Consider the following 25,432-nt stretch of genomic DNA (forward strand, 5'->3'; position numbering starts at 1 on the left):
TCTTTGGGTTAAGAGTGACAAGTTAATCTTAGCAACTTTAAAATTATTTTCTGCTTGCTATATTAGAAGATATAAATACCTAAATGGGAATTTTTTTGTTTATTCTTATTTTTCTTCCAATAATTAAGTAAAAAGCCATTAGTAGGACTGATTTTCCGTTAGAAAACATTTTAATCTGTGCACGCATATATTCTTTCTAGAAAAAGAAAAACATCCATTCATGAGAGTTCAGGGATACGTGAAAATGAAGCAAATGAGGAAAGACCCATTCACATTCCTCCAAAAGGTAATAGAATATTAATACTGAAAGGAGTATCAGCTAATACATAGAGATAAAAATCAGTAGTATTCTGCCTACAGTTCTTTCATTTTAAAATAATATTTATGAAGAATTTGATAAAGATAATCAGCCATAAAGTAATGAATCAAAGTACTTAGACTTCTAGAAGTATTTGGCTTGGGGTAAATATGACTTAGCAATGGGTATTTCCTTGGTCCTGGAGAATGCCACTGTGCTCACAAATGGGAACACACAGCTCTGAAAAGCTAATCACACCTGCGATGTTGGTGGCTGTTTCTCTTAGAAATTCTTTCTGACGTCTATGTCATGTCCTCTTTCCAGATCTGTGGCTCACTGGAATCATGTTACTGGCTCCTGGTAGTCCCTGACTTTACCTGTTTGTTCCAGGAACTTGCTTTATGGCCATTTGTTCTAATGATCAGTTTGGACAACCAACCTTTATTCCTCCACCTCAGACAATATTCAACATCCTGTAATCATCATAGCGGTAAGTAAGTACTTATTTCTTCCCTCATAGACTGCCTTATTTTAAAACCATTTTTCAGATGGGGTCTTTCTTGGACAAGCAGAGGATGCTTGGAAGCATTCCTCGCATACATTGTGTTGGGTCATTCTTATCTTCATAACATATCTCAAATGTAGGCAAAATCTATAGGTGTCTAAACCTACCAGTGCTTCTTTTCATGTTTGATGCTCCCTTAAGAGGAGAATTAAATGGAGAACAGGAATATCTATCACATAATTAGGGACAAACTCTAAAGGGCAAATATTTCAGAGAGATACTAAATATGGGGTTGAATTCATCCTAGGTGTAAGTGACTGATACCTGATCTTTTCCCTAGTCATATGGGTGGTGATGAGTGGAGGCAGAAACAGACAGGTAACAAGGGAAATGAATGTGTTCAGAGGAAATCTGGGATAATGTGGAGAAAAAAATTTGGGATGGGTTGGGGAAGAGGCAAACCTGGAGACTGGGAAACTTCATAAATTTTACCTACCTCAAAATAGCCCCTGAAATCAGCTCTGCATAAAACTTACAATAAGTTTTGGATTGCCATTCTGGTTACATGCCTCCCCTGGCCAAAATATTAATAATTGGAAGTTGATGAGACATGAAAATTTAGGTGGAAATCCCTAAAGACAAAAGTGTGTAAATGCTAATCATCACTCTACAATGCGATACAGGTACCCACTGATTCTTAATTCACGTCTCCCTCTCAGTGCCAACTTGCTTTTCCCCTGGTTTTTCTCATGTCATTAAATGGCACTTCTTTTATTCCAAGACTCAGGCTGAAAACTTTGTAGTCATCGTGATTCCTCTCTTTCCTTCAGATTATGGGGTCAGCATAAAATGCAACTTTGTTTCCATAGCTGATGGGCCCTTCAGGGTCTGGCTCCTGGTTAATCCCTGACTTTGTCTCCTTCCATCCTCCCCTTGCTCACCACACTCCAATGCCATGGACTTTCTGCTGTTCTTGGCAGATATGTGCTCCACCTCAAGGCCTTTGCACATGCACTTCTCTCTGTGTTACTCTTTTCCTGGATATCCCTCTGGTTCACTCTAATCAGGTCTCTGCCCACATAGCATATTACAGAAGTCTTCCCTGGCTACTGTATCTTAATTAGCACTTCCCATTACTCTCTGTTTATTTTGCCTTTTTTTCATTATAGCATTTACTATTACCTGACATAACATAGTATTACATGCCATGATGTTATGTATTTATACATGTATTGATGTATTGATCAATTGTGTCTCTCCCACTAAAAGGTGTTATATCAGTTTTTCATATCTGTTATTTGTTTCTCTTTTGTAGTCTCAAGATTTGTTGAATGAATAAGTAAATGAACAAGAGGTGATGTTTTTGGAAAGTAGCCATAATCTAGAACTATGTACATTAAAATGACTTTATGGTTCAGGCAAGGGTAAATAGCAGGCAACTACATAATTTTCAGGGTGCTAGGTGTGGAAGCCACTTACTTTTTAACCCTAGGTGCTGCCTGCTTTCCTTGGCCACCAAGTGGAGGTGTTACCATCTGGTGGGTCAGAGGTAAGAAACTATATCCTGGTGCCTCCCTGGGGAAACCCGTCCCCATGCAGAAGGAGATGACAATAAATCTAGGGAAGGTCTTTTTCAACTTCTTGAACCACAGTTTTGTTTTTTTTTATGAACTAGATTACTGTCAGGTGCTTTTCTAAGGAAACTCACATCACAAACACTTAAAAATAACAGAAGTAAACCCAGCAGTGACAGTGACTATACATTCCTGAGGAACTTGGGGGAGGAAGGAGAAAAGTTTCAAGCCAGAGTTTTGTGGTGACTAAGTATCCCATAACTTTGTCTGACAACCCTCCCAAACTGTGGGGGTGGCCTATGGGGACTGCTTCCAGTCTTGGCTACTTGGTACAATGGTATGAATACATTAACAATAGACAATATAGACAAATTACGTACTTGTATAAGGTAAAACTATATGATCCTTGTAAACAGAGAAGTTTCTCTTCTTTCTCAAGTAAAAGACAGACTTGAAATAGACCAATAAGTTGATAAAATGAACCAACAAGGGTATGGTGTATAGAATTTGTGGGGCCATGACTGGCCAGACTCTTATTGTGAAAGCATGGAAGGTGTGAATTTCGGAGACATGGAAGGGCTCAGTGACAACAGCGAAAAAATAATTAAAAAAACACAATCCAGGAAGAATACAATTGAAATTTGAGCCAGTAGCTGTTTACTTATTTATAAAGGGGTCTTTTGCAGAAAATATGGAACTGCTGTTTTTACTGCCTTGTTTTTGAAGTCCCCATGACAATCTATTCCTGTGAAACTCATACCCAACTTTCAGAGCAGTTCCTCGACTATGTGATGGTTGAACTTTGCAGCCTGGAATGTCCTTCATCTCCTTTTGTTATCTGTTATTTAGATTTCAAGGTAGGCACCTCCCCAACCCTTCTATAAAAACAAATGCTCTGTGTTCTTTTCTTCCATGGCGTTGTAACTTGTTTACACCATCACTGTGCCACATTGGCCCACAGTAGTGCTTTCAAGACCTGCTCCCCGATAGCCTGTGATTTTTCATCAAGGCAGTATTGCCTTATTCATTTGTCTTAGTTTGGCACAGAGTAGAATTGTTAGTGGATTTCACCTTCTCTACCAGTATTTTCATTGCTTCAGTTTTCTCTTATTATTTATTTATATATTTATTTTTAAATTTTAGATTCAAGGGGTACATGTGCAGGTTTGTTATATGGGATATATTGTATAATGCTGAAGTTTAGACTTCTATTGATGCCATCACCCAAGTAGTGAATATAGTACCTGATAGATAGTTTTTCAACGCTTGCTGCCTCTCTCCATCCTCCTTTTTGGAGTCTCCAGTGTCTATCATTCCCATTTTTGTGTCCATGTGTACTCAATGTTTAGCTCCCACTTACAAGTGAGAACATGTGGTATTTGGTTTTCTGTTTCTGCCTGAATTCACTTAGAATGATGGCCTTCGGCTGCATCCATGTTGCTACAAAGGACATAATTTTGTTCTTTTTTATGCCTGTGTAGTAGTCCCTGGTGTATATATACCACATTTTCTTTCCAATCCATCATTGATGGGCACCATTCTGTTGCGGGAAGTCAGAGACCCTGAACGGAGGGACCAGCTGAAGCCATGGCAGAAGAACATAAATTGTGAGGATTTCATGGACATTTATTAGTTCCCCAAATTAATAGTTTTATAATTTCTTTTGCCTGTCTTTACTGTAATCTCTGAACATAAATTGTGAAGATTTCATGGACACTTATCACTTCCCCAATCAATACCCTTGTGATTTCCTATGCCTGTCTTTACTTTAATCTCTTAATCCCATCATCTTTGTAAGCTGAGGAGGATGTATGTCACCTCAAGACCCTCTGATGTTTGCATTAACTGCACAAATTGTTTGTAGAGCATGTGTGTTTGAACAATATGAAATCTGGGCACCTTGAAAAAAGAACAGGATAACAGCAATGTTCAGGGAACGAGGGAGATAACCTTAAACTCTGACTGCCGGTGAGCCGGGCGGAACAGAGCCATATTTCTCTTCTTTCAAAAGCAAATGGGAGAAATATTGCTGAATTCTTTTTCGCAGTGAGGAACATCCCTGAGAAAGAGAATGCGTCCCTGTGGGGAGGCCTCTGAAATGGCCGCTTCGGGGACAGCTGTCTTTTACGGTTGTAGCGGAGGGATGAAATAAGCCCTGGTCTCCCGTAGCGCTCCCAGGCTTATTAGGACTAGGAAATTCTCGCCTAATAAATTTTGGTCAGACCAGTTGTCTGCTCTCAAGCCCTGTCTCCTGATAAGATGTTATCAATGACAATGCATGCCTGAAACTTCATTAGCAATTTTAATTTCACCCCAGTCCTGTGGTCCTGTCATTTCGCCCTGCCTCCATTTACCTTGTGATATCTTATTACTTTGTGAACCATGTGATCTCTGTGACCCACACCCTATTCGTACACTCCCTCCCCTTTTGAAAATCACTAATAAAAACTTGCTGGTTTTACGGCTTAGGGGGCATCACAGAAACTGCCAACATGTGATGTCTCCCCTGGACACCCAGCTTTAAAATTTCTCTCTTTTGTATTCTGTCCCTTTATTTCTCAGACTGGCCGACACTTAGGGAAACTAGAAAAGAACCGACGTGAAATATCGGGGGTGAATTTCGCCCTATAGATTCCATGTCTTTGCTATTATGAATAATGCTGTGATAAATATACAAGAGCATGTGTCTTTTTGGTAAAATGTTTTATTTTCCTTTAGGTATATGCCCAATAGTGGATTTCTTGGTGGTAAGGTAGTTCTATTTTCAGTTCTTTAAGAAATCTCCAAACTGCTTTCTACAGGTCACTCTCCCAATTTTAAAGTAATCCATGTCTCCACTAACATTGTGTTTGTATTTCTCCTGCTGCATTTGTCATAGTCTGTGCTGCCTTGGAACTACCTGAATTTATGTGGGACCCTCTTGAGGGCAAGAGCCAAGTCTGATCTTGTATTCTCTAACAGGCCTAGTGCAGTAGCTGGTCCTTAGTGAAGGCTCAAAAACAATTTCTACATTGTACTGAAGGAGCTATTGATGTAGTTGAAAACTTTTTTTTTTACTTAGGTAAGACATTGCCTGACTGTGATGGTTGTTAATCATTGGTTTAGGTAATATGATGTGTAATTTATTTTTTGAAGAGTATGTAATTAAAAATGGAATAAGTTCATATCTTTGAAGGGGGAAGAATGGATATCATGACCTTACAACTTACTTCATTTTACATCCAAAATTTAGTAAATGTCTAATTTTAAAATGATATTTGTACTCTGCCTTAATAATTTCAAGCATGCTAACCTAAACATGCATGTGAAGTTCTATAGCAAATGGAAATTCAGAAATACCAAAGGCTATTACAACTACAAGAAGCTTGGCCACAAGAGACCATAGTACATTTAAAATAAAAATCCTATAAGATCCAAAAGATTGAATTGCTAATAGTGGAATTTCAGGCACAGAGGAGAAAAAGGGTGGATTTCATGATAAGATTTGTTCAGCCTTTCAAATCATACCATGAATGATAAGTGTCTACTCATATTCTAGGCTGGTAAGAAGACAACCAATTATGCCATCATTTCCTTACATGATTGGAAGTAATTTCTTCAGATAAAGGGACTTATGATTAAACTATAAAAATGTAGAGCAATCTATGGAGTCTTTTCTGTATCCTTGCTTGCTCTATTGTTTTACTCACAGTAAGTCACTCAGCCAACCTTATTAGATGGTTGTGTGATGGATTTTGCTCCTCTATATAAGCAAATTTAATATTTTACTCTTTCCTTCATTCAAATGTTAGATATAATATTATAGCAGAGCAGCTTTTTCTCATTGGAAGAATGTGAAATACAGGTTCTATGTGTTTGGGGCCAGTGGAGAATACTCTCCTATTTCTAATAAGATAAATCGTTCATTGAAGTAAAAGAAAAGTCGAGGAAAATCTCCCTTTAGGTATTCATTTTGAAAATCTTACTGAATCAATGTGGTTAAAATTTTTCACTTTATTTTATAGATCACATAAACATACTTCCCTCTTTTCTCCAAGCCCCATTTGTCACGTACCCGTTAAGATACTATATGCATTGTTAGTGATATCTAATAGGCAATATCTAATATTTCTGTTAGTGATATCTAAGGCAATCTCTAATATTTCTGTTAGTGATATCTAAGGCAATATCTAGTATTTCTGCAGAGGAGAAACAACATTGACATTTTTTGTTAGTCCCTTCAAGTAGAAGCTTAAGAAATTTCAGTATTTGGGAATTTAATCAACCCTAAAACAGATATTCCTTGAGGCCTGTTTTATTTTAAGGGTAGTATTTTTGTTTTTGCACATAGTATATTCTAAATTAGCTGGCAGAGAAGATATTATAAAAATGGATTCATTTTGGAGTTGCACTGTGAGCTTCTTATTCTGTAGATGGCTCTCTTTATTAATCAATCCAAGTTCCATATTTTTACTATAAAAAGGATTGTGTTTCTTCAGAATTATGCTAACTTGTAACATAAATGCCTTTCTATGAGGCACCTGCCATAAAATAAAACTCCTCCAGAAAGAGCATAAGGATGGTGATGCTGAGTTATTCTGTATCTTCCAGGAAATCTCAAGAAGTATATGTTTCTCTGAAGGTCACATGCCTCATTGCTCTTGGAGAATAGGTTGACTTCAAGTTCATGTTCTTCTCTTTTACTGAAGTTGCATTTATTGGTCTTAGATTATCTGTCAAGAAGGATGGGAAGGAAAATTAAAATGCAAGCTCCAAGAGGGTACACGCTGTTTTGTTCATCATTTTCCAAGTGTCTAGCATAGCTTGAAGCATAAATAGGAATTTAATAAATGCTTATTGAATGAACGAAGATCAGTGGTTTTCAGGTTCATAATTTCATTCTTTATACAGGAGATTCTTTATGTTCATAATCTCATTCTTAATTACTTCACTAAATCACAGAGATTAAGAATAAGAGTTTTGGCATCAAGCAGGCCTGGATTAATTGTTGACTTTGGTTAAGTTACTAAATATTCCTTTAAACCTCAATCTCTTCTTCTGAAAAGGTGAAAAATGGGGTTGTGTATGTGAAGTGCTCCGAAGTATTTGGCACACAATAAATTCATGATAGATGGGCTTTATTATGAGTAGTAGATTTTACAGGACATTTGCTTGTATTTATGCATATGAAAATCTACTTCAACTAAATAAAAAGTATCTAAATAAAGTGAGAGTTTTTTTCTTTTTTTCTTACTTATTCTGTTACATAAAAATCGGCAGTCCCCGCCTGAGCTTAAACTGTATTTTATTCTTGAATTAATACTTCTCCGTGTATGTCTGGAGAACTGAGTCAGGGTCTTGTCTGGGGATTATGTATACTGTACAAAGCACAGAAGTGCTTCTTGGAAAAGGCCATTATAGCGGAAGTGAAATTTGAGGCATATTGCCTTGGTCAAAGTCAAAGGCAAAAGATTAGAGTATGGTTTTCCAGTTGCTCAGCCAGCTCAAGATTGAGTGCTAGATTAAAACTCTTAAATAAGAGTGAGCAAATACTACTAAAAGCCAAAAGCAAACATTAAAAACGCTATCGATTTCTCAGCAAAATCTCCATTAGTCTTTTAAAACATAAGACACCTTCAGCATCATTGGTCCTAGCAGTGTCTGCAGCTGCAGAGAAGGGTATGACTTGGGGAAATGGTACCATCAGAACACAGGATGCCTGGCCAGTCTGAAATAGCAACCTCAGTGGAGATATCTTCAGCCTCCCCAGCAGCACCGTCAGCATGGCCACTCTTATTTGTGTATCACCAGTGGCACTGATGACCCAAGTATTATCATGACAGTGATATGGTGCAACAAAAGTAGGAAATGTGGGTTGCCAGCCACATGGTAACCAAGAACACTAGTTCAGATGTATTAATACTAGGAACTTGTTAGGAATGGCACCTAACAAGTTTTGTGAAATTTGTGAAAAAGTTGAGGAAAAATTAAAGTTCCTGCATGATTGTAAGTAAATTCAAATAAAATAGAGTTTTGAGATTTTTAGTGTGCCCTTAGATTTTGCCTGTAGACTGTGACGTATGGTCCACTTTGAGAGGAAATAAGTCAATGTAAATTGTGGTTAAGAAAACCTTTAGATGATCTTGACTTGTTAAATATTCAGTGTTATATAAATTTCTGTGGGTACAAAGAAAGTGCATGATTATCATCCCTGAACAAAAATTGCTTTGGAAGAAAACAAGATTAATATTTCAGAGTTTTTAAAAACTAAATTTCTCATTTTGTTCTGTGGAATCAATTATAAAATTCCTACTAGAATTACTGAATAAAAATCTGATTGTCATAATCCCTAGTTTTAGAGGGAGAAAGGGAATTATAAGTCACCTACAATTAGTGTTGCTCTATATTCTCTTTGGGATCACCTTTATTAGATGATGCTCATGAAGTACGAGTGGACTAAAATTTGTTGGTTCTGCAGGAAGTGAAAAAAGTATGACATTATGCTGCATATTCCAAAGATGAAGAAATTAGTTTATAAATTAGTAGTTTAGGAGTTTGGATACAAACAACAGAAACTGACTATGGTTAGTAGATATAAATTTTGTTTTTCTAAAGGTATAATGTAGGTCACAGAATTGATAGAAAAATCTTGATATTACTCCTATGATCCTCTTGATAGAGCATTATCCTGTATCAGTTAACTATTGCTGTGCAAAAGCCATCTAAAACTTAATGATTTAAAAAATAGGAGTTTTGCAATTGATCATGAGTTTATAAGTCAGATGGATGACTTTCTGATCTGCTCCAAACTTGGCTGACCTTGGCTAGGCTCACTCATGCATCTTTTGTCAGCAGGGGCATCTGACATGTTTAGGGGCTAACCGGCTAATGTCTGTAGTGATGGTGATAACTCAGCCATATGTCTTTCCAGTTAGCTAACTTAAGCTTTTTCTTATAGTAGCCATATACATATGTAGTTCTTATGGTAGGTGTATACATCTATATGTATGTAGCTACTGTAAGACTAGTGTGTATACACACACACATACACAGTCACACACATACACATGTATATTAACTCTTGAGATCGAGGTTCAAGATTGGCATACCATCACTTCCGCCACTTGGCCAAATTAAGTCAATGGAGAAAATAAAGTCTACCTCTTGCTGGGAGGGGCTCAAAGCTACATTGAGAATTGAATGGATAAAGATGAGGGCGACAGGGAAAGAACTGGGAACATTCTATTTAAGCCCACCTTTAGTTCCCTAATTCCAGGATCCCCAGAAGCTTCCATCAGTCATGACATCAAACTTGAATTCCAGAGATGAATGATCTTAATCAGGTTCAGATATGGCTCCTTAGATATAGCTCCTTTTGATTCAGAGATGTATGAACTAAAAAGCAAGTTAGCTCTCTTTCCCTCAGCCAACATACAGTTGTGAGATAGGGACAGATAACTGCAAATGACACTTCCATCAAAAACAGGAAGCATGGGAGTCACTGGTTTGTAGCAGCTATGAAATCGAGCTGGAAACTTTTGCAGGTCCTCCTGTACTAGGAGCTGAGAATGCCCCTTAATTGGACGTGGGTTTTTTTCCCTGGGAATATCTTCTCAGCCCACTTGTCTCTACTGCTTCTTAGAAGTGGTGGGTTGCAGTCCACTGGTTTTTCTCACTCTTTACCCTGTCATCCTTCCTTGTCCATCACCTCTTTGGCTGCTTCTGAAGAAACAGTTCACCTTTGCCAGCTAATATGATTTTTGAAACTGATTCTTTCCCATAGAAAGTTGAAGGCTAAAACCCTTTTGCAATTTGAACAATTTCAGTTCCTTTTAGTCCAAGCTGGTGGTATTTCCACATGTGTACTTCCTAAAAAATCTTCCTATGAATTGAATCAAAATCCATTCCTTCTGACAAAAGATAAGCATGCCTCTTTTGAGTTACTGCTACTTTGGGATGACTTCTGTGGGACCACAGTCTTAAGATTCCTGATGTCCTTTTGCCTAAATGAGAAAACCTGTAAACCGCCTTCATTCTTTTTTAGGTTTTGACTCTTGGTTTAGTCTTTGTCCTCAGGCTGGGGACACTGGTAATGAGAAGTTCTATTTTCCAACTCGCCAAATTATGGCTCATTATATTCTCTCCAAATTCTGCTTTCAAATTTGTCAGTGATTTCTTTATGTTATCTTTTTTTTTCCACCTCTGTATAATATCACACACAGCTAGAACACTTTTAACATTTTTCCTGGAGATTTCTTTAGTCAAATCCAAAAGTTCACTGCATACACTTTTCATCTTTCAAGTAAGGCAGGCAACTGTTCTGTCACCTGCTTCACTACCCCATAATACAGGCCACCACATTTTCATCCTCTAGTATTATTTTCTCACCATTTTTCTGACTTTTGCTAACAGTCTGCCCACTATTTTCCAGCCTCTGCTTCTTACCCAGTCCCCAAACCAATGGTGTCTTATGTGTTTTTAAGGCAGCATCCCATTTCAGGTATCAATTTTCTGTATTCTTTAGATATTGCTGCATAATAAATCACTCCAAAAAATAGTATGAAAAGCCCTGGCATTTTATTATTGGTCACAAGTCTATGGGTCTGCTCGGCAGTTTTGATCTTGGCTGGCCTTGCTCACATGTGCATCATTCAGTGCAATGGCTGAGTGAAAAAGGATGTCTGGAGGTTGGTTGCTGTTGGCTGATAGGGGTGACTTATTATCCAGCAGATGAGTCTGGAATTATTCTCATGATGCTGGACAGAGTTTCAGGAGAGAGAAAGTAGAAACATGAAAGGCTTTTGGATGTCCAGGCTTGGAAGTGGCACACAGCCACTTTGGTCCATTCCAAGAGCCACATCGAATCATAGGGCCAAACTAGATTCAGGTGGGGAAATAGATTTTACTGCTTGATGAAAGAAACTTAAAAGTCACATTGCAGAGGCATGAATAAAGGAAAGGGTGAAGAATTTGGGCCGTTTTTGACATCAATTCTGGCTCTTGGGGATCTATGGAGTCAATTCTATAAGTTGTTGGCTGATTCCTGGCTCTTCCTATCTTCTCTTGGAGGGAGTACAGCAATGCTCAATGAATGCATTGGAGTGTGGCCGCATATGGGTTCCTTGCCTGCTACTGACAGTAGTGGATAACTCCTAAAATACAATTTATCTCCATTGTTATAGCTAACAGCTCAGATCTTTGGGATTGGAGGACATCTTTGAAGTGCTTTGCCAACCCTACAACTTACTCCAAAAAATTATGCACCTAGCAAATTTAACCCAAGATATGGTTAGGCACAACCCCTTCAGGTGTTTTAGGGAGAATGTGGGCCAGATTTCATAGGATTACTGTTTTAGTGGTACAGTACTACCTCCTTATCTGTGATTTCACTTTCTGTGATTTCACCCACCTATGGGCAACTGCTCTCTGAAAATAGGTATGGTACAATAATTGAGAGAGAGAGAAGGAGAGACTACATTTGTGTGACTTTTATTATAATATATTGTTATAATTTTTCTAGTTTATTATTTGTTATTGTTATTAATCTCTTACTATGCCTAATTTTAAATTAAAATGTATCATAGGCATGTATGGATATAGGAAAAAGCATAGTATATATGGAGTTTGGTACTATCTGTGGTTTTAGGCATCCACTGTGGGGGTCTTAGGAAGCATTCCCGTGGATAAAGGGTTACTATTACTGTATTGTATTTTGGCATGTTAACTTAAGACTTTTTTCTCTTGTTTCTACTACTCACCTTTCTTATTCCTTTCTCCTCAGCTTTCTGTATGAGCTGGCTTCAGGGTGAGTGATTATTCAGAGCAAGAAAAGGATAAAATCGTTAGCATTTGAATTTCTGGGGAGACATTTGTACATCATCAAAAGCCATGATTCTGGCATAAACAAGAGGTTAGTCTGAATAGTTAGGCAGATTGTTGTGCCTTTGGGAATAAAGATAAATCAGTTGACCTAGGGTGGGAGTGAAGTTGAGAGAAGAGAAGAATAAAATTGGTTATTGTGAGTTCCTGGGAAAGGAAAATACACCTGGCTTGTCTTTGGGGTTGAAGCCCTTTGTGTTAGCGGGGCAATAGAAATGTGAAACAAGTTTGGGGTTCTCCAAGAAGAGGGATCTATACCTTCCTCTCCAGGTTGCAATCAGGAGAAATTACAGGTCTCTCTGAAAAACCCTCGGTGTAGCATGGGGTCAGGACAGGAGTATGGCCCTAGTTGACAGAGATGTGTAATCTGATGGGTCCTATATCTCACTGTAGGGTGGGAAAGGCAGCTGGGAGTGTCTGAGGTTCCCTAGTGATGGACAAAAAAGCTGACTGACTTGCAGGCATCTTGCAGTGTTGCTCATGCCAGACACAGAACACCTGGACTGGGAGAATAGAGACCTTGAAAGGGTTCCAGATGACCACAGCAGATTGCATTACATGTCAGCTGAGATCCTGTGGTCTGAGCAGAACTATGGCACTCTCCCTTGTGAAATTAAGAAAACAGCCCCTCTCTCTGAACTATCTCTAGGAGAATTCTGTTTACCCAGATGAGACTGAGTAAAATCCAGAAAAGACAGAGTTTACTTTGAACTGGAAAGATGAATGTGTCTGTTATCATCAGTAAAAAAGGAGTTTGAGAGTTAAGTATACTTATAGAAATACTTTAGTTCACTGATTCCAAGATGCACGTTTTTTCACATCTTAACATATCTGAAATTGAGATACGGCTCAAAAATCCATGGTGTATCATAGTTTAGTTGGCAGTGATTTCTCTTTCTTAATAGTACACAAAATAACACTGCATCTTACAAATGATGGTGTCTTAAATTCTATGAAATACAGTATAATGGAATTTGTATCTTTGCATACTTGGGATTTGTAAATCTCACTTTTTGCCAGTGAAAATGCTAGTAATTCAAGACCTGTAGCTCAGCTATTCTTGGCATTCCTAACTCTTCTTTTATTCACAGTGACACCTTTACTTTTAGTCCCACAAGCCTAGGGAATGACAGCTTAAGGTTGTGGGGGCACCTAAGATCGAAGGAGCTGGTCACAGCTGCTTGGAGCTGAATGCCACTTGGGGCTAGGGCAGCAATGGCATAGGGGTCACAGGCCTACTTCTGATCTATCTTTAACATTTTTGCATGTTGTCAAACTTTATTGAGGGACCCTCTGAGATTCACCTGCACATGCAGTTCTTCCCCACATTGGTAATTGCCATGGAGCCTCCCCTTCACCACTATGAGGAATCCCAGGATGCTCAGATCCTTGAACAATCCCGTGAAAATCTGCCTGAAAGCCAGCATCCTGTGGGGTGTGGGAGTGGAATGAAATCTTCTTAACTTTCACCATGCACCATCTTTAAAGACAGGGCCCTCCAAGACTAAATAATCTGACAGCCTTTTCATTCTTTAGAATGAATGGACTATTCTCTGGCATAGACCACTGCTGTAACAATTCCATTGTAAAGTAAACATACAATTCATTTTTTTTCATGGCATTTACTCTACATACATATTTCAGAACTTTGGCACCTAGTGTCATGATCTTAACATGGGCAGTGCCTGATTAACACTGGCTTGGATTCTCTTCTTAATTCCATCATTTCTCTCTGGTAATATCCCTAGAAATAATCTTTTCCAATAACACCAGAAATAAGCTTTTCCAGAAATAATCTATCTTTCTCCACAGTTCTGCATTCAAGGATGCAAAAGTGTAGGTAATTCTCCATGAGTCCATTTTCTCATACCCTCTGCATGAAATTTCCTTTAGAGATTAACCTCATAAATCCATTCCATATTGCAAAGCTCAGCTTTCTGGTTCTGAACTTTATTCTCCTAGAGTGTCCATGGTGCTTTGATCATATTTTTCTCCACTACATTATTCTCCCATTGAAGAAGCATTCCTATTCCCATGACTACCCAAGCTGAATCTACCCCATTCCTTGACACCACCTTCTAATAGTGCAACTTCTATAGTGAAGTGTTCCTGGATCTGTTCTATGCTGTCACTTTATTTGGGCCTGGTCAGACACTGCTTGTATCTCAATAATCCAAGATATTGGTTCTCCCAAATATAACCCCTTTATCATACCCACAACATCTCAAAGAGAATGCAGGTATATCCATTGGCAGAAAAATAAAATTATACCATTAGGTAATTATAAATACACAGGAAGCCTGAGTATGATGCAAGACATTACTTTTCCCATCAAGTCATCTTCAAATCCAGAGACTCTACCTCAGATAGATGCCTAAGCTTCCTTTGTTTGTGGGAGCATGGCACCAGGTTCTTGAACTTCTCAGGGTTTCTCTCAGTGCCACTCTAGAAAGTTAATATAAGAGCCTTACCATGAAGAGCTGGAAGAAGATTTTCTTTTCTTTTCTTTCCCTTTTTTTTTTTTTTGTGATAGAGTCTCACTCTGTTACCCAGGCTGGAGTGCAATGTGCGATCTCGGCTCACTGCAAGCTCTGCCTCCTGGGTTCAAGCGATTCTCCTGCCCCAGCCTCCTGAGTAGCTGGGATTACAGGCATACACCATCACGCCCGGCTAATTTTTGTATTTTTAATGGAGATGGGGTTTCACCATGTTGGTCAGGCTGGTCTCGAACCCCTGACCCATGATCAGCCCACCTTGGCCTCCCAAAGTGCCGGGATTACAGGTGTGAGCCACCATGCCCAGCCAGAAGTTTTAAACCCTTCAAGTTTAAGTGAAGAATATGCAAAAAAAAAAAAAATCTGTATTGGAAAATGTTGACTTTATCTTCACATAACTCAATGGGCTCTTAGGCTAGCAGTCTCAGTATCTTTACTATGTTTTACCAAAGAGCTTCCCAAACCTCCTCAACATGACAAGAAGGATGTGTTCAGAAAAGGGTGATGAGAAAAGAAAATTCTATTCTAGAAAAATTAGTTTCATTTTCTTTATGATAATTATAGTTTCCCCCTTCCTCAGAAAAAAAGTTTCCAAGTCTTATAAGTTACCTTTCCTTTGTAACTTGTACTTTTTCTTCATTGATGTCTCCAAAGTAAATATGTTTGATTAGGTCATTGGGATTATATCATAAATTATCCAAGCTATAGAAAATTAGCTATGGCATTTTCCTATTACAAGAGTGCAAAAAAATTTAGTGAGTTTGAAAATAATGCTGTTTCTCCACATAGTTGAATTTTGCATAAATGTATTTTATTTTGGACCTCATAAAAGAGACTTAGCTACTGAGAAACCCAAAGTATCTTGTTCTTATAAAACTACTTCACCTATAAAGTGTGGTCTTGTAGCATGGACTTCAAGGATAATATTACAGTAAAATTTATTTCTTCTTATTTTTTTAAGACAGAGTTTCACTCTGGCACCAGGCTGGAGTGCAGTGGTGCAATCTTGGCTCACTGCAACCTTTGCCTCCTGGATTCAAGTGATTCTTGTGTCTCCGCCTCCTGAGTAGCTGGGACTACAGGAGTGGACCACCATGCCTAGCTTAATTTTATATTTTTGGTAGAGGCAGGGTTTAACCATGTTGACCAGGCTAGTCTCGAACTCCTGACCTCAAGTGATCTGCCTGCCTTGGCCTCCCAAAGTGCTGGGATGACAGGCATGAACCACCACTCCTGGCCATATTACAGTAAAATTTAGAGGCTATGTTAGCTGAAAGTAAGCAATATTTGTCTCAAATAAAATGGAAGAAAAAAGTTCTGGGATGCATATTGCTGGTGAAAGGGGATTGCTATAGTATTTCTACCAAATTTGGCAATGCATATTAAATCCTTAAATATAGCCATAGCTCTTGACACAGCAATTCTTACCTTATGAGAATTTATCCTAAAGAAACCATTAAAAGTACACACAAAGTTTTACATATAAGGATATTCCTCACTGTATTATTTATAGCAGCTAAAATCTAGAAACAACATACATGTTTGACAAGAGGTATGGTAGATTGCAGATGGTCACAAATTCTTTGCAGTTGTCTCCCATAAAGAAGTGGAATCCATTTCCTCACCCCCTTGAATCTTAACTGACCTTGTGACTTGGTTTGACCAATAGAATGAGGCAAGAATGACATATAAATTCCAAGCACAGGCCTGAAGAGACTTTGCAGCTTCTGCTCTGTCTCTCAGAACCCTGCTACGACATGAACAAGCCAGGGCTAGCCTCCTTGAGGGTGAGAGACTTCAGGGCAAGTGAGGCCCAGCCATTTGAGCTGGCTCAGCAGGGCCCTGGCATGGGAGTAAGCCCAGCTAACATTACACGGAGCTACTGAGACATCTCAGGTGTGCTCAGCCCAAATCGCTGATCCACAGAATTGTGAGCAAATAAATAATTATCATTTTAAAGCTACTAAGTCTTAGGGTAGGTTGTTGCGCAGCAAAGACTAACTGATATGCAGAAGAATATTTTAGTTCAGTGTTTCCCACATTATGTTGTATAGTCCACTAGTATCTTATAAGATATTAATAGAAATCTTAAAATGGATTATATAAGACTAATATAATAGATATGCATTATCTAATGTAGAGATATAATAATGTGTAAGAATAGATTATATAATAATAATAAAATCATGAAAAAGGATACCATTGGTAGTCAAATAAGCATGGGAAAACTTTAAATTTACTACTGATATAGGGGTTAAGGAGAAATTATTTAGGCAGACAGTGAGGATAAATAAGTCCTTGGTAAGGTTTTCCTTTTTATGAAAAGCAGCCCCCAAGTCATTTTCTTTTATAACAAGGAGTAGCTTGTAAAATCGAGCTGCAGACATAGACAAACAAGTTCAAAGCTTGCGTGGGTGAATGCTGGCAGTTGTACCAATAGGAAAAAGCCACTTGGGACTAGGCATGTTCACAATGGTGGCTCCATTTTCCCTTCTTTTTGCAGGCCACATGTACAGTAAGGAACAGAAAACGTAGTGCTGCCAAGTGGAAAGTCCATTTGCATAATAAGATTAGGGTGGGGTGTCCAGCCTTCCCCACACGCTATGTAAACGTCACACCTGGTCCAGCCAATCTCTGGGCCCTATGTAACTCAGACACCGCCTCCTCAAGCCTGTCTATAAAATCCGGTGCACTCTGCTGCAGGCCGGAATTCCCAGTCCGGCGTCCCTCTCTCTCGCAAGAGAGAGAGTCGTTCTCCTTTCTCTTTCTTTTGACTATTATATATCTGCTCTGAAACTCACTACCTGCGTGTGCTCCTTCCCTAATTTTCTTGGCGCGAGATAACGAACCTCGGGTATTTACCCCAGACAAAGATGCGGCTGCACTACTCTCTTTCAGTCTGGTCATGCACATTAACGTATTATAACTCTGAGAATTTCTTCGTAAAACACTTATTAACAGTGTTTGTCAGATTTATTAAGACTGCTCTCTTTTTTTGTGTAATATCCTCTAACATCACACCAGATGGTACTGTTTCAAGGAACACTGTATGGGTGAAGCAGTTTTTGTAAACTATTATTATTTACATAATAAAATACTTGGCACCATTAACAACATTATTTTGCAGCGTTTTTAATAAAGGTAAATATTCTTACAGTATATATAACGTGACTAAATTTTGTGAAATATATTTTGCACTATATATTATATGTATTCTATACACTGAAAACAGTTTGCAAATATATTTTGATAGTAATGTATGCTGGATAGTAGAGTTATGAGTAATTTTAATTTTCATTTTAATAATCCTATCATTTCAAAATTTTCATAATTGCTATGTTCTTTAAAAAATTGTAAAAGATGATTTTTTTAAAATTACAATGGACCTTATGGACAATTTCCCAGCCACTACTGCTCCCTTCATCTCTTTACTTCATAGGCCACAAACAAAGGAGTGCACACCCTCTGCAATGTACATACCCTTAGCATTCCATGAACTATTGGTTTTAATGAGGCTGACATGCCAACAACACTTCTTATTTTCTTCTTCTTTAATAACGCTAAAGTAGTTAGTAATGCTAGTTAATTGGTCAGCTAAACATTGTATGTGGGAATTTTGAAGAAATTGCAAATCATACCCTCTAGAAAATATACTGGTCATCGAAATATTTTTACATAATTTGCTCTGTAATATTTAGTAATTGCAATCTCAGAATACTAAGCATATTGCACCTCTAATAGGATTTACTTTCTTTCAGCTCAGTTAATTACTTTGTTTTGTAGTTTGTTTAATCCCTGATTAATAAATTTCAAAACGCTAGATAAGCCATTCTAAAATAATGTCTGATTAACTATGCTTGTAAAATATCAGGGTGAGGGACTCCACGCACCTTCAAATCTGTGTTTCACAATGTTCACCCTTTTATTATTGTCTTCTCACATACTATATATTCAATAAGCTATTACTGAACAAAGTGTAATGTCTAAACTAATACTCTACACTATAAAATAGTATTACATATTATGCTATAATGCTGGAATTTTATGCTCCCATAAAATTGTTTTAGGAAATGATTTTTGGGTCCAAGCTTCAGGCCCTTTTTCTTCCAGCACATCTCATTTGAAAAGCAGTTTAGTTGGCATTTATTTTTCTTAAAGATCAAACACCATGAAACATGATAGAATATTGATCACCTCCATTTACTATTTTCAGAATCCATTGTCTCCGTTGTGACAGGGAACTGTTAACACTGCATGGTTTGGTAGCTCACCAAGATTCATAGAAAGATTTTAGCAGAGGCCTCATGCAATGCACAGGATGGCATCCAGGGCACTTACAGGGAACTTCTTGGACTCCTCTCTGAACCCCAGTTCGAGCTCAGATAGAGTATGACTTTTGTCAAAATTTTTATTCATTCCTAAATACAAACAATTTTGATGACTATACAAGTTTCTCAACCTTTATTCTGCATACATGTCTATTGAATTTTACATTCATGGTCCAATTAAAAAATATTTGTAGAGCAAGTAAAACCATTCTAAAACAGTTGAGAGGAAGTAAAAACGACAAATAAAATAATAAAAAAAATCACACAGATCACATATTGGTATAATGTTTATACAAATTTTGTCTGAAACAGGACCTCAAAAGATGGCATAGAACAAGGAAAAATGGTTACTCTCTTTATTAGAAAAATTCTAAAGGATATTTTATCTTTTTCTAGATGCCTACTCAACAAATAACATAAATTTAGACCAGAACATATTTCTACATACACTATTGAAGAAAAATCACGAATGCACATTATGTTACTTGTTTCTTAGAAATTAAAGAGATGTTGAACTTTATTAAAATTAAAACTTTTGTAATTCAAAGGAGTTTATTAACAAGGGGAAAAGAACTTACAAAATTGGAGGAAATATTTGCAAATCATATATCTGATAAGTTACTGGTATGTGGAATATATAAAGAATTTCACAACTCAATTATAAAAGGACAAACAACCCAATTACAAAATGGGCAAAGGATCCGAATGGACATTTCTCCAAAAAGATATACAAATTACCAATAAACACATGGAAAGATGTTCAGTGTTATTAGTCACCAAATAAATGAAAATCAAAACAACATGCACTACAATGGCTGTAATCGAAACGACATAATAACAAGTGATGGCAAGGATGTGAAGAAATTGGAACCTTCATACACCACTGGTGGGAATGTAAAATGGTATAGGCACTTTGGAAAACAGTCTGGCAGCTCTTCAAAAGAAGAAAAAGAGTTGTTATAAGACCCACTAATTCTTCCCTTAGGTATGTACTCAAAGAAATAAAAAAGTCTACAAAGAAAACCTGTACACAATTGTTTATAGCGCCTTATTCATTATGGCCCCAAAATGGAAGCAGCCCAAGTGTCCTTCAACTGATGAATGGATAAATAGAATTAGTATCTCTATACAATGGAATATTATTTAGCCATAAAAGGGAATGAAGTATTGATAAATGCTACACTGTGGATGAACCTTGAAAACATTATGCTAAGTGAAGAAGCCATTCATTAAATACTGGCTTTATATAATCCCATTTATATGAAATGACTAAAATAGACAAATCTATTGAGTTAGAAAGTAGATTAGTGATTGCCTAGGGCTAGGGAGTTCAAGGGAAACAGAGAGTGACTGCTAATCTATATGGAGTTTTTTGGGGGGCATGATGAAATGTTTTAAGACTGATTGTGGTGTGCCTACTTCTGTGAATATACTAAAACCATAGAATTATGCTTTTTTTTTTTTTTTTTTTTGACAGAGTCTCACTCTGTCACCCAGGCTGGAGTGCAGTGGCGCGATCTCAGCTCACTGCAACCTCCACCTCCCAGGTTCAACCGATTCTCTGCCTAAGCCTCCCAGGTAGCTGGGATTACAGGTGCATGCCACCATGCCAGGCTTATTTTTGTATTTTTAGTAGAGACGGGGTTTTACCATGTTGGCCAGGCTGGTCTTGAATTCCTGGCCTCAAGTGATCCATCCACCTTGGATTCCCAAAGTGCTGGGATTATAGGTGTGAGCCATCGTGCCCTGCCAAATTATACACTTTTAGTAAGTAAATTGCATGGTATGTGAACTATATCTCAAGAAAATTATTAAATTGTATCTCTATTAAAAATTGAAGCAAATACTTCTGGTTCTGCTGAAAAGGAGGATTTCTAGTTCCACCAAAAATTGATAGGTCCATTATTCCTCTCTTGTTCTCCTTACAACTAAATGTACTCTAGACATAATTCAAAAAGCATAGAAATACTCTGAAGAGTGGAAATAAGAAGGTGAGCAACTGAGGTACCTCAGGACTTTAGGAATGACATGGCAGTGATATAGCTGGGTTTACTTATTGCCTCCCATACATCACAGACAGAGCATCACGGAAGCCTCCAATCCAGAAATGGCAGGAGACAAAATTGGCTCCAAAAACAGCTTTTCCTTTTAGGTAAGGGATAGAAAAAAGTGGTCTAACAGCAGAAAACCAATTCGGCAATTCCCACCCTACTCCAGCCAAACATCAGTGGAAAAAACATCCTGTGCCTTCTACAGTTTCAACTTTGCCATATTGGGAGTTGATTTTCCACCATCCCTTCCGCCCCTCCACCCTGAAGAAGAAGGCAGCAATTCTGATTCCCCCATGGTGTGGTGTTAGTGGGACCAAGCTGGGAGCTGTTTTTCCATCTTCTGCCCAGCAGAAGCAGTCAGCAGTTATCTGATTCCCCTACTGATGGATTATTGGCAGAATGAAGGGGGGCAGCTGATCTTCTATCCTCCACCAGGCAGAAGCAGGCAGCCCTCTGATTCTCCTGCCGGGGTAGCATTGGTGAGGCTGTGGGAAGTGGATCTTGTATTCTCACCTGGTAGAAGCACATGATGCTAAGATTCACCTTGTCAGGGTAGTGTCAACAGGGTCCAGTGGCATGCTGAACATATACTCCCACTCAGCAGTGACAAGACTTAAGGCAGTGTAAGGCAAGGCTAGTGAGGCAAGGCTAGTTGACAACACTAGGCTTTAAACACCTACTATCCCATGTTAACAGAACCCGGTGGGGAACTGATCCTACATCCATGAGGTGGAAGGAGGTGGAGGCAAGTAAGGTTAGTTGGCACCTTGATTTTCCATCATCTCCTTTGATTCAGTGGAGAGCTGCTTCTGACTCCATAATGTAGGAACAAAGAGGTGTGAGTCAGTCCTCTATTCTAGTGGCAGTGGAACTCAGATTAGAGGTGATCTTACAAATCCACTCAGAGACAACAAGGCAGTGCAAGTCAGCGGTACACTTTTGCTGTCAGGGCCCAGAGGGAAGCTGATCATACACACCTACCCATCCATTATGTTACACCTAAAAAGAGGGACTGCCTGCTGAAAAAAATGATTCAATAGCATCCAGAGTGTCATAACATAATATACAGAAAGTCCAGAGTATTATAGAAAATTGTTATCATACCAAGAACTAGAAAAATAACAACATGAATGAAAGAAAAATCTATAGACACCAACACTGAGATTAATCATATATTAAAATTATCCAGCAAGGATTTTAAGTGGTTCATAATAAAAATATTTAAACAACCAGTTATTAATTTTTGAAACAAATGAAAAGATAGAAAATCTCAGCATAGAAATAGAAATTGTAAGAAAGAACCAAACAGAAATTTTAGAACTGACAAATATAAGAACTAGCGTAAAAGCTCTCTTGATAGCCACAGTAATACAGTGGAGATGAAAAGGACAGAATCAGTAAAATACAGATCAATAGAAATTACTCAATCTAAAAAACAGAAAGAAAACAGAATAACAACTCACTCCCCCAACCCCCCCAAAGCCCCCAGAATTTCGGAAGCTAGTGGGACAATAGCAATAAAGCAAGCATTCATTCTAAGCACATTTCCAGAAGGAGATGAGAGAGTGAACCTGAAAAATTTATTGAAGAAATAAAGGCTGGAAATCCCCCAAATTTGGCAAAAGACATAAACCTATGAAAAAAGAAGCTAAGAAAATACCAAATTAGATAAATCCCAAGAAATCTATGCCAAGCTACATCATATTTGTACTTCTGAAAACTGAAGACAAAAAGAAAAAGAAACTTGAAAACAGCCTGAGACAAGCAACACACTACTTATATGGGAGTATCAATTTGAATGACAGTGGATTTTTCATCTGATACCATGGAGGCCAGAAGTAAGTGGCATAATTTTTTTCAAGTACTAAAAGAAAATAAATATAATCCATGAATCCCATATTCAGGAAAAATATTGTCAGAAATGGAGGAGAAGCAAAGACATTCTCAGTTGAAGGCAACCTAAGAAAATTTGTTGCCAACAAATCTAACTTAAAAAATGACTGAATAAAGTTCTTTAAATAGAAAGAAGATGGTAACAGAGTAAGATTTGAAGGTTTTAAAAGGAAGGAAGAGTATCAGAATGTGTAAAAATAGAGATGAATATAATGCAGTGATCCCCAACCTTTTTGGCACCAGGGACCGGTTTTGTGGAAGACAAATTTTCCATAGACTGGGTTAGTGGGGGATGGTTTCAGGATGAAACTGTTCTGCCTCAGCTCATCAGGCATTTGATTCTCATAAGGAGTGCACAGCCTACATCCCTTGCATGTGCAGTTCACAGTAGACTTCATGCTCCTGTGAGAACCTAATGCTGCCGCTGATCTGACATGAGGCAGAGCTCAGGAGGTAAAGCTTTCTCGCTTGCCACTCACCTCCTGCTGTGAGGCCTGGTTCCTAACAGGTGATGGAACTGGTACTGGTCTGCAGCCTGGGGGTTAGGGACCCCTGATATAATGGACTGTCCTACTTCTCATAAGTTTTTAAAATTATATTTGATAGTTGAAGAAAAAGTTATAACAGCAACTGATCTGGTATTCAATATATGTAAAGGGAACTACTTAGGACAATCATATTTGAAAAATAGAGAGGAAAAAGGACCTAAATAGAAGTTTTCTACACTTCACTTGAAATGGTAAAATGTGAAAATTTATGTATGTGTATTGTAATACCTAGAGCAACTACTGAGAAAGCTCTACAAAGTGATATTCTCAAAAACTATAAATAAATCAGGATGAAATCTTAAAATATATTCAAATAATTCACTGGAAGGTAAGAGAAGAGAAACAGAGGAAACAAACAGAAAACAAATGATATAATGGTAGAATGTAAGCCCTAACATGTTAATAATGACAAATATTGACTGAGGTTGTGTCCCCTGCACATTCATATGTTGAAGCTTTAATGTTATGGTATTTGGAGGTGAAGATGTTGGGAGGTGATGAGGTCATGAATATAGAGCCCTCTGATGGGATTAATGTCCTCATAAGAAAAGGAAGGGAGCTAGTTCTTTCTCTCTCTCTGTCAAGTGAAAATACAAAATAATCGGGAACTTCAAGACTTTACTCAGCAATTGATAGAAATACTACACAGAAACTCAGCAAGGATATAGAATTGTACAATAAAATCAACCAAAAGGATTTATTTAACTTATATAGAATACATCATGCAATAATAGCACAATAAACATTTTCTTCAAATGCTCTTGGAACATTTACTAAGATAGACCATATACTATGCCATAAAACAAAATTTCACATATTTAAAAGAAATGAAATTATACAGTTTGTTCTCTGGTTATAGTAAAAGCAAACTAGAAATCAGTAACAGATAACAGGAAAGTCTCTACACGTGAATAAATTAAACAACAGAATTCTAAATAATCCATGAATCAAAGAGGAAATTGCAAAGTAAATAGAAAAATAGGTAAAATTGAATGAAAGTAAAATAAAATATATCAAAATATGTGGGATGTAACTAAGGCAGTGCTGATGAAAAAATTTATAGTTCTAAATGCTTACATTAGAAAAAAGGAAGGTCTGAAATGAATAATCTAAGTAGATAAATCTGAAAATTAGAAAAAGAAGAGCAAAATAAACCCAAAGCAAACAGAAAGATGAAATAACAAAGAGAAGAAATCAGTGAAATAAAAAACAGGAAAACCATAGAGAAAACCAATGAAGATATTTCTAAATGACAAGAAAGACTCCAATAAAGTCAATAATTTCTAGCAAGACTGACAAAAATCCATATCAGGAATGAATAGGTGATATAATGACATGTCACACAGACACTAAAAGGATAACAAAATATTATGAATAATGTAATACTCATAACTTTGACAACATGGAAGAAATGGATGAAAAAAATCTCAAAAACACAAACTATGAAACTTCAACCAAGATGAAATAAGCAACCTAAATGATACTATCACCATCAAAGAAATTAAATTTGTAACTAAGAACTCCTGAAAAATAATTCACCAAAAATAGTTTCACTGGTGAATTCTATCTGGCTTTTAAAAATTAACACTAATTTGGCCAGGTGTGGTGGCTCACGGCTGTAATCCCAGCACTTTGGGAGGCTGAGGTGAGTGGATCACGAGGTCAGGAGTTAAAGACCAGCCTGGCCAAAATGGTGAAACCCCGTCTCTACTAAAACTACAAAAATTAGCTGGGCGTGGTGGCAAGTGCCTGTAGTCTCAGCTACTCGGGAGACTGAGGCAGGAGAATTGCTTGAACCCAGGTGGCAGAGGTTGCAGTGAGCCAAGATCGTGCCACTGCACTCCAGCTTGGGCGACAGAGTGAGACTCCGTCTCAGACAAAA

At 37.7% G+C, this 25,432-nt stretch overlaps 1 long non-coding RNA gene across 1 annotated transcript in view; it reads left to right on the top strand.

The window, feature by feature from the left end:
* Positions 1-200: 200 nt before the first annotated feature.
* The window catches only part of LOC105377975 (uncharacterized), a 295,277-nt gene continuing 270,045 nt past the window's right edge, over positions 201-25,432 (top strand). Inside the window, exons 1-2 of the long non-coding RNA NR_134600.1 lie at positions 201-286; positions 623-788. This is a non-coding gene — a long non-coding RNA (uncharacterized LOC105377975). The remainder of the gene's footprint in view (positions 287-622; positions 789-25,432) is intronic.

Source organism: Homo sapiens, chromosome 6 (assembly GCF_000001405.40).
Source record: "Homo sapiens chromosome 6, GRCh38.p14 Primary Assembly".
In the NCBI taxonomy this organism is placed as follows: Eukaryota; Metazoa; Chordata; class Mammalia; order Primates; family Hominidae; genus Homo; species Homo sapiens.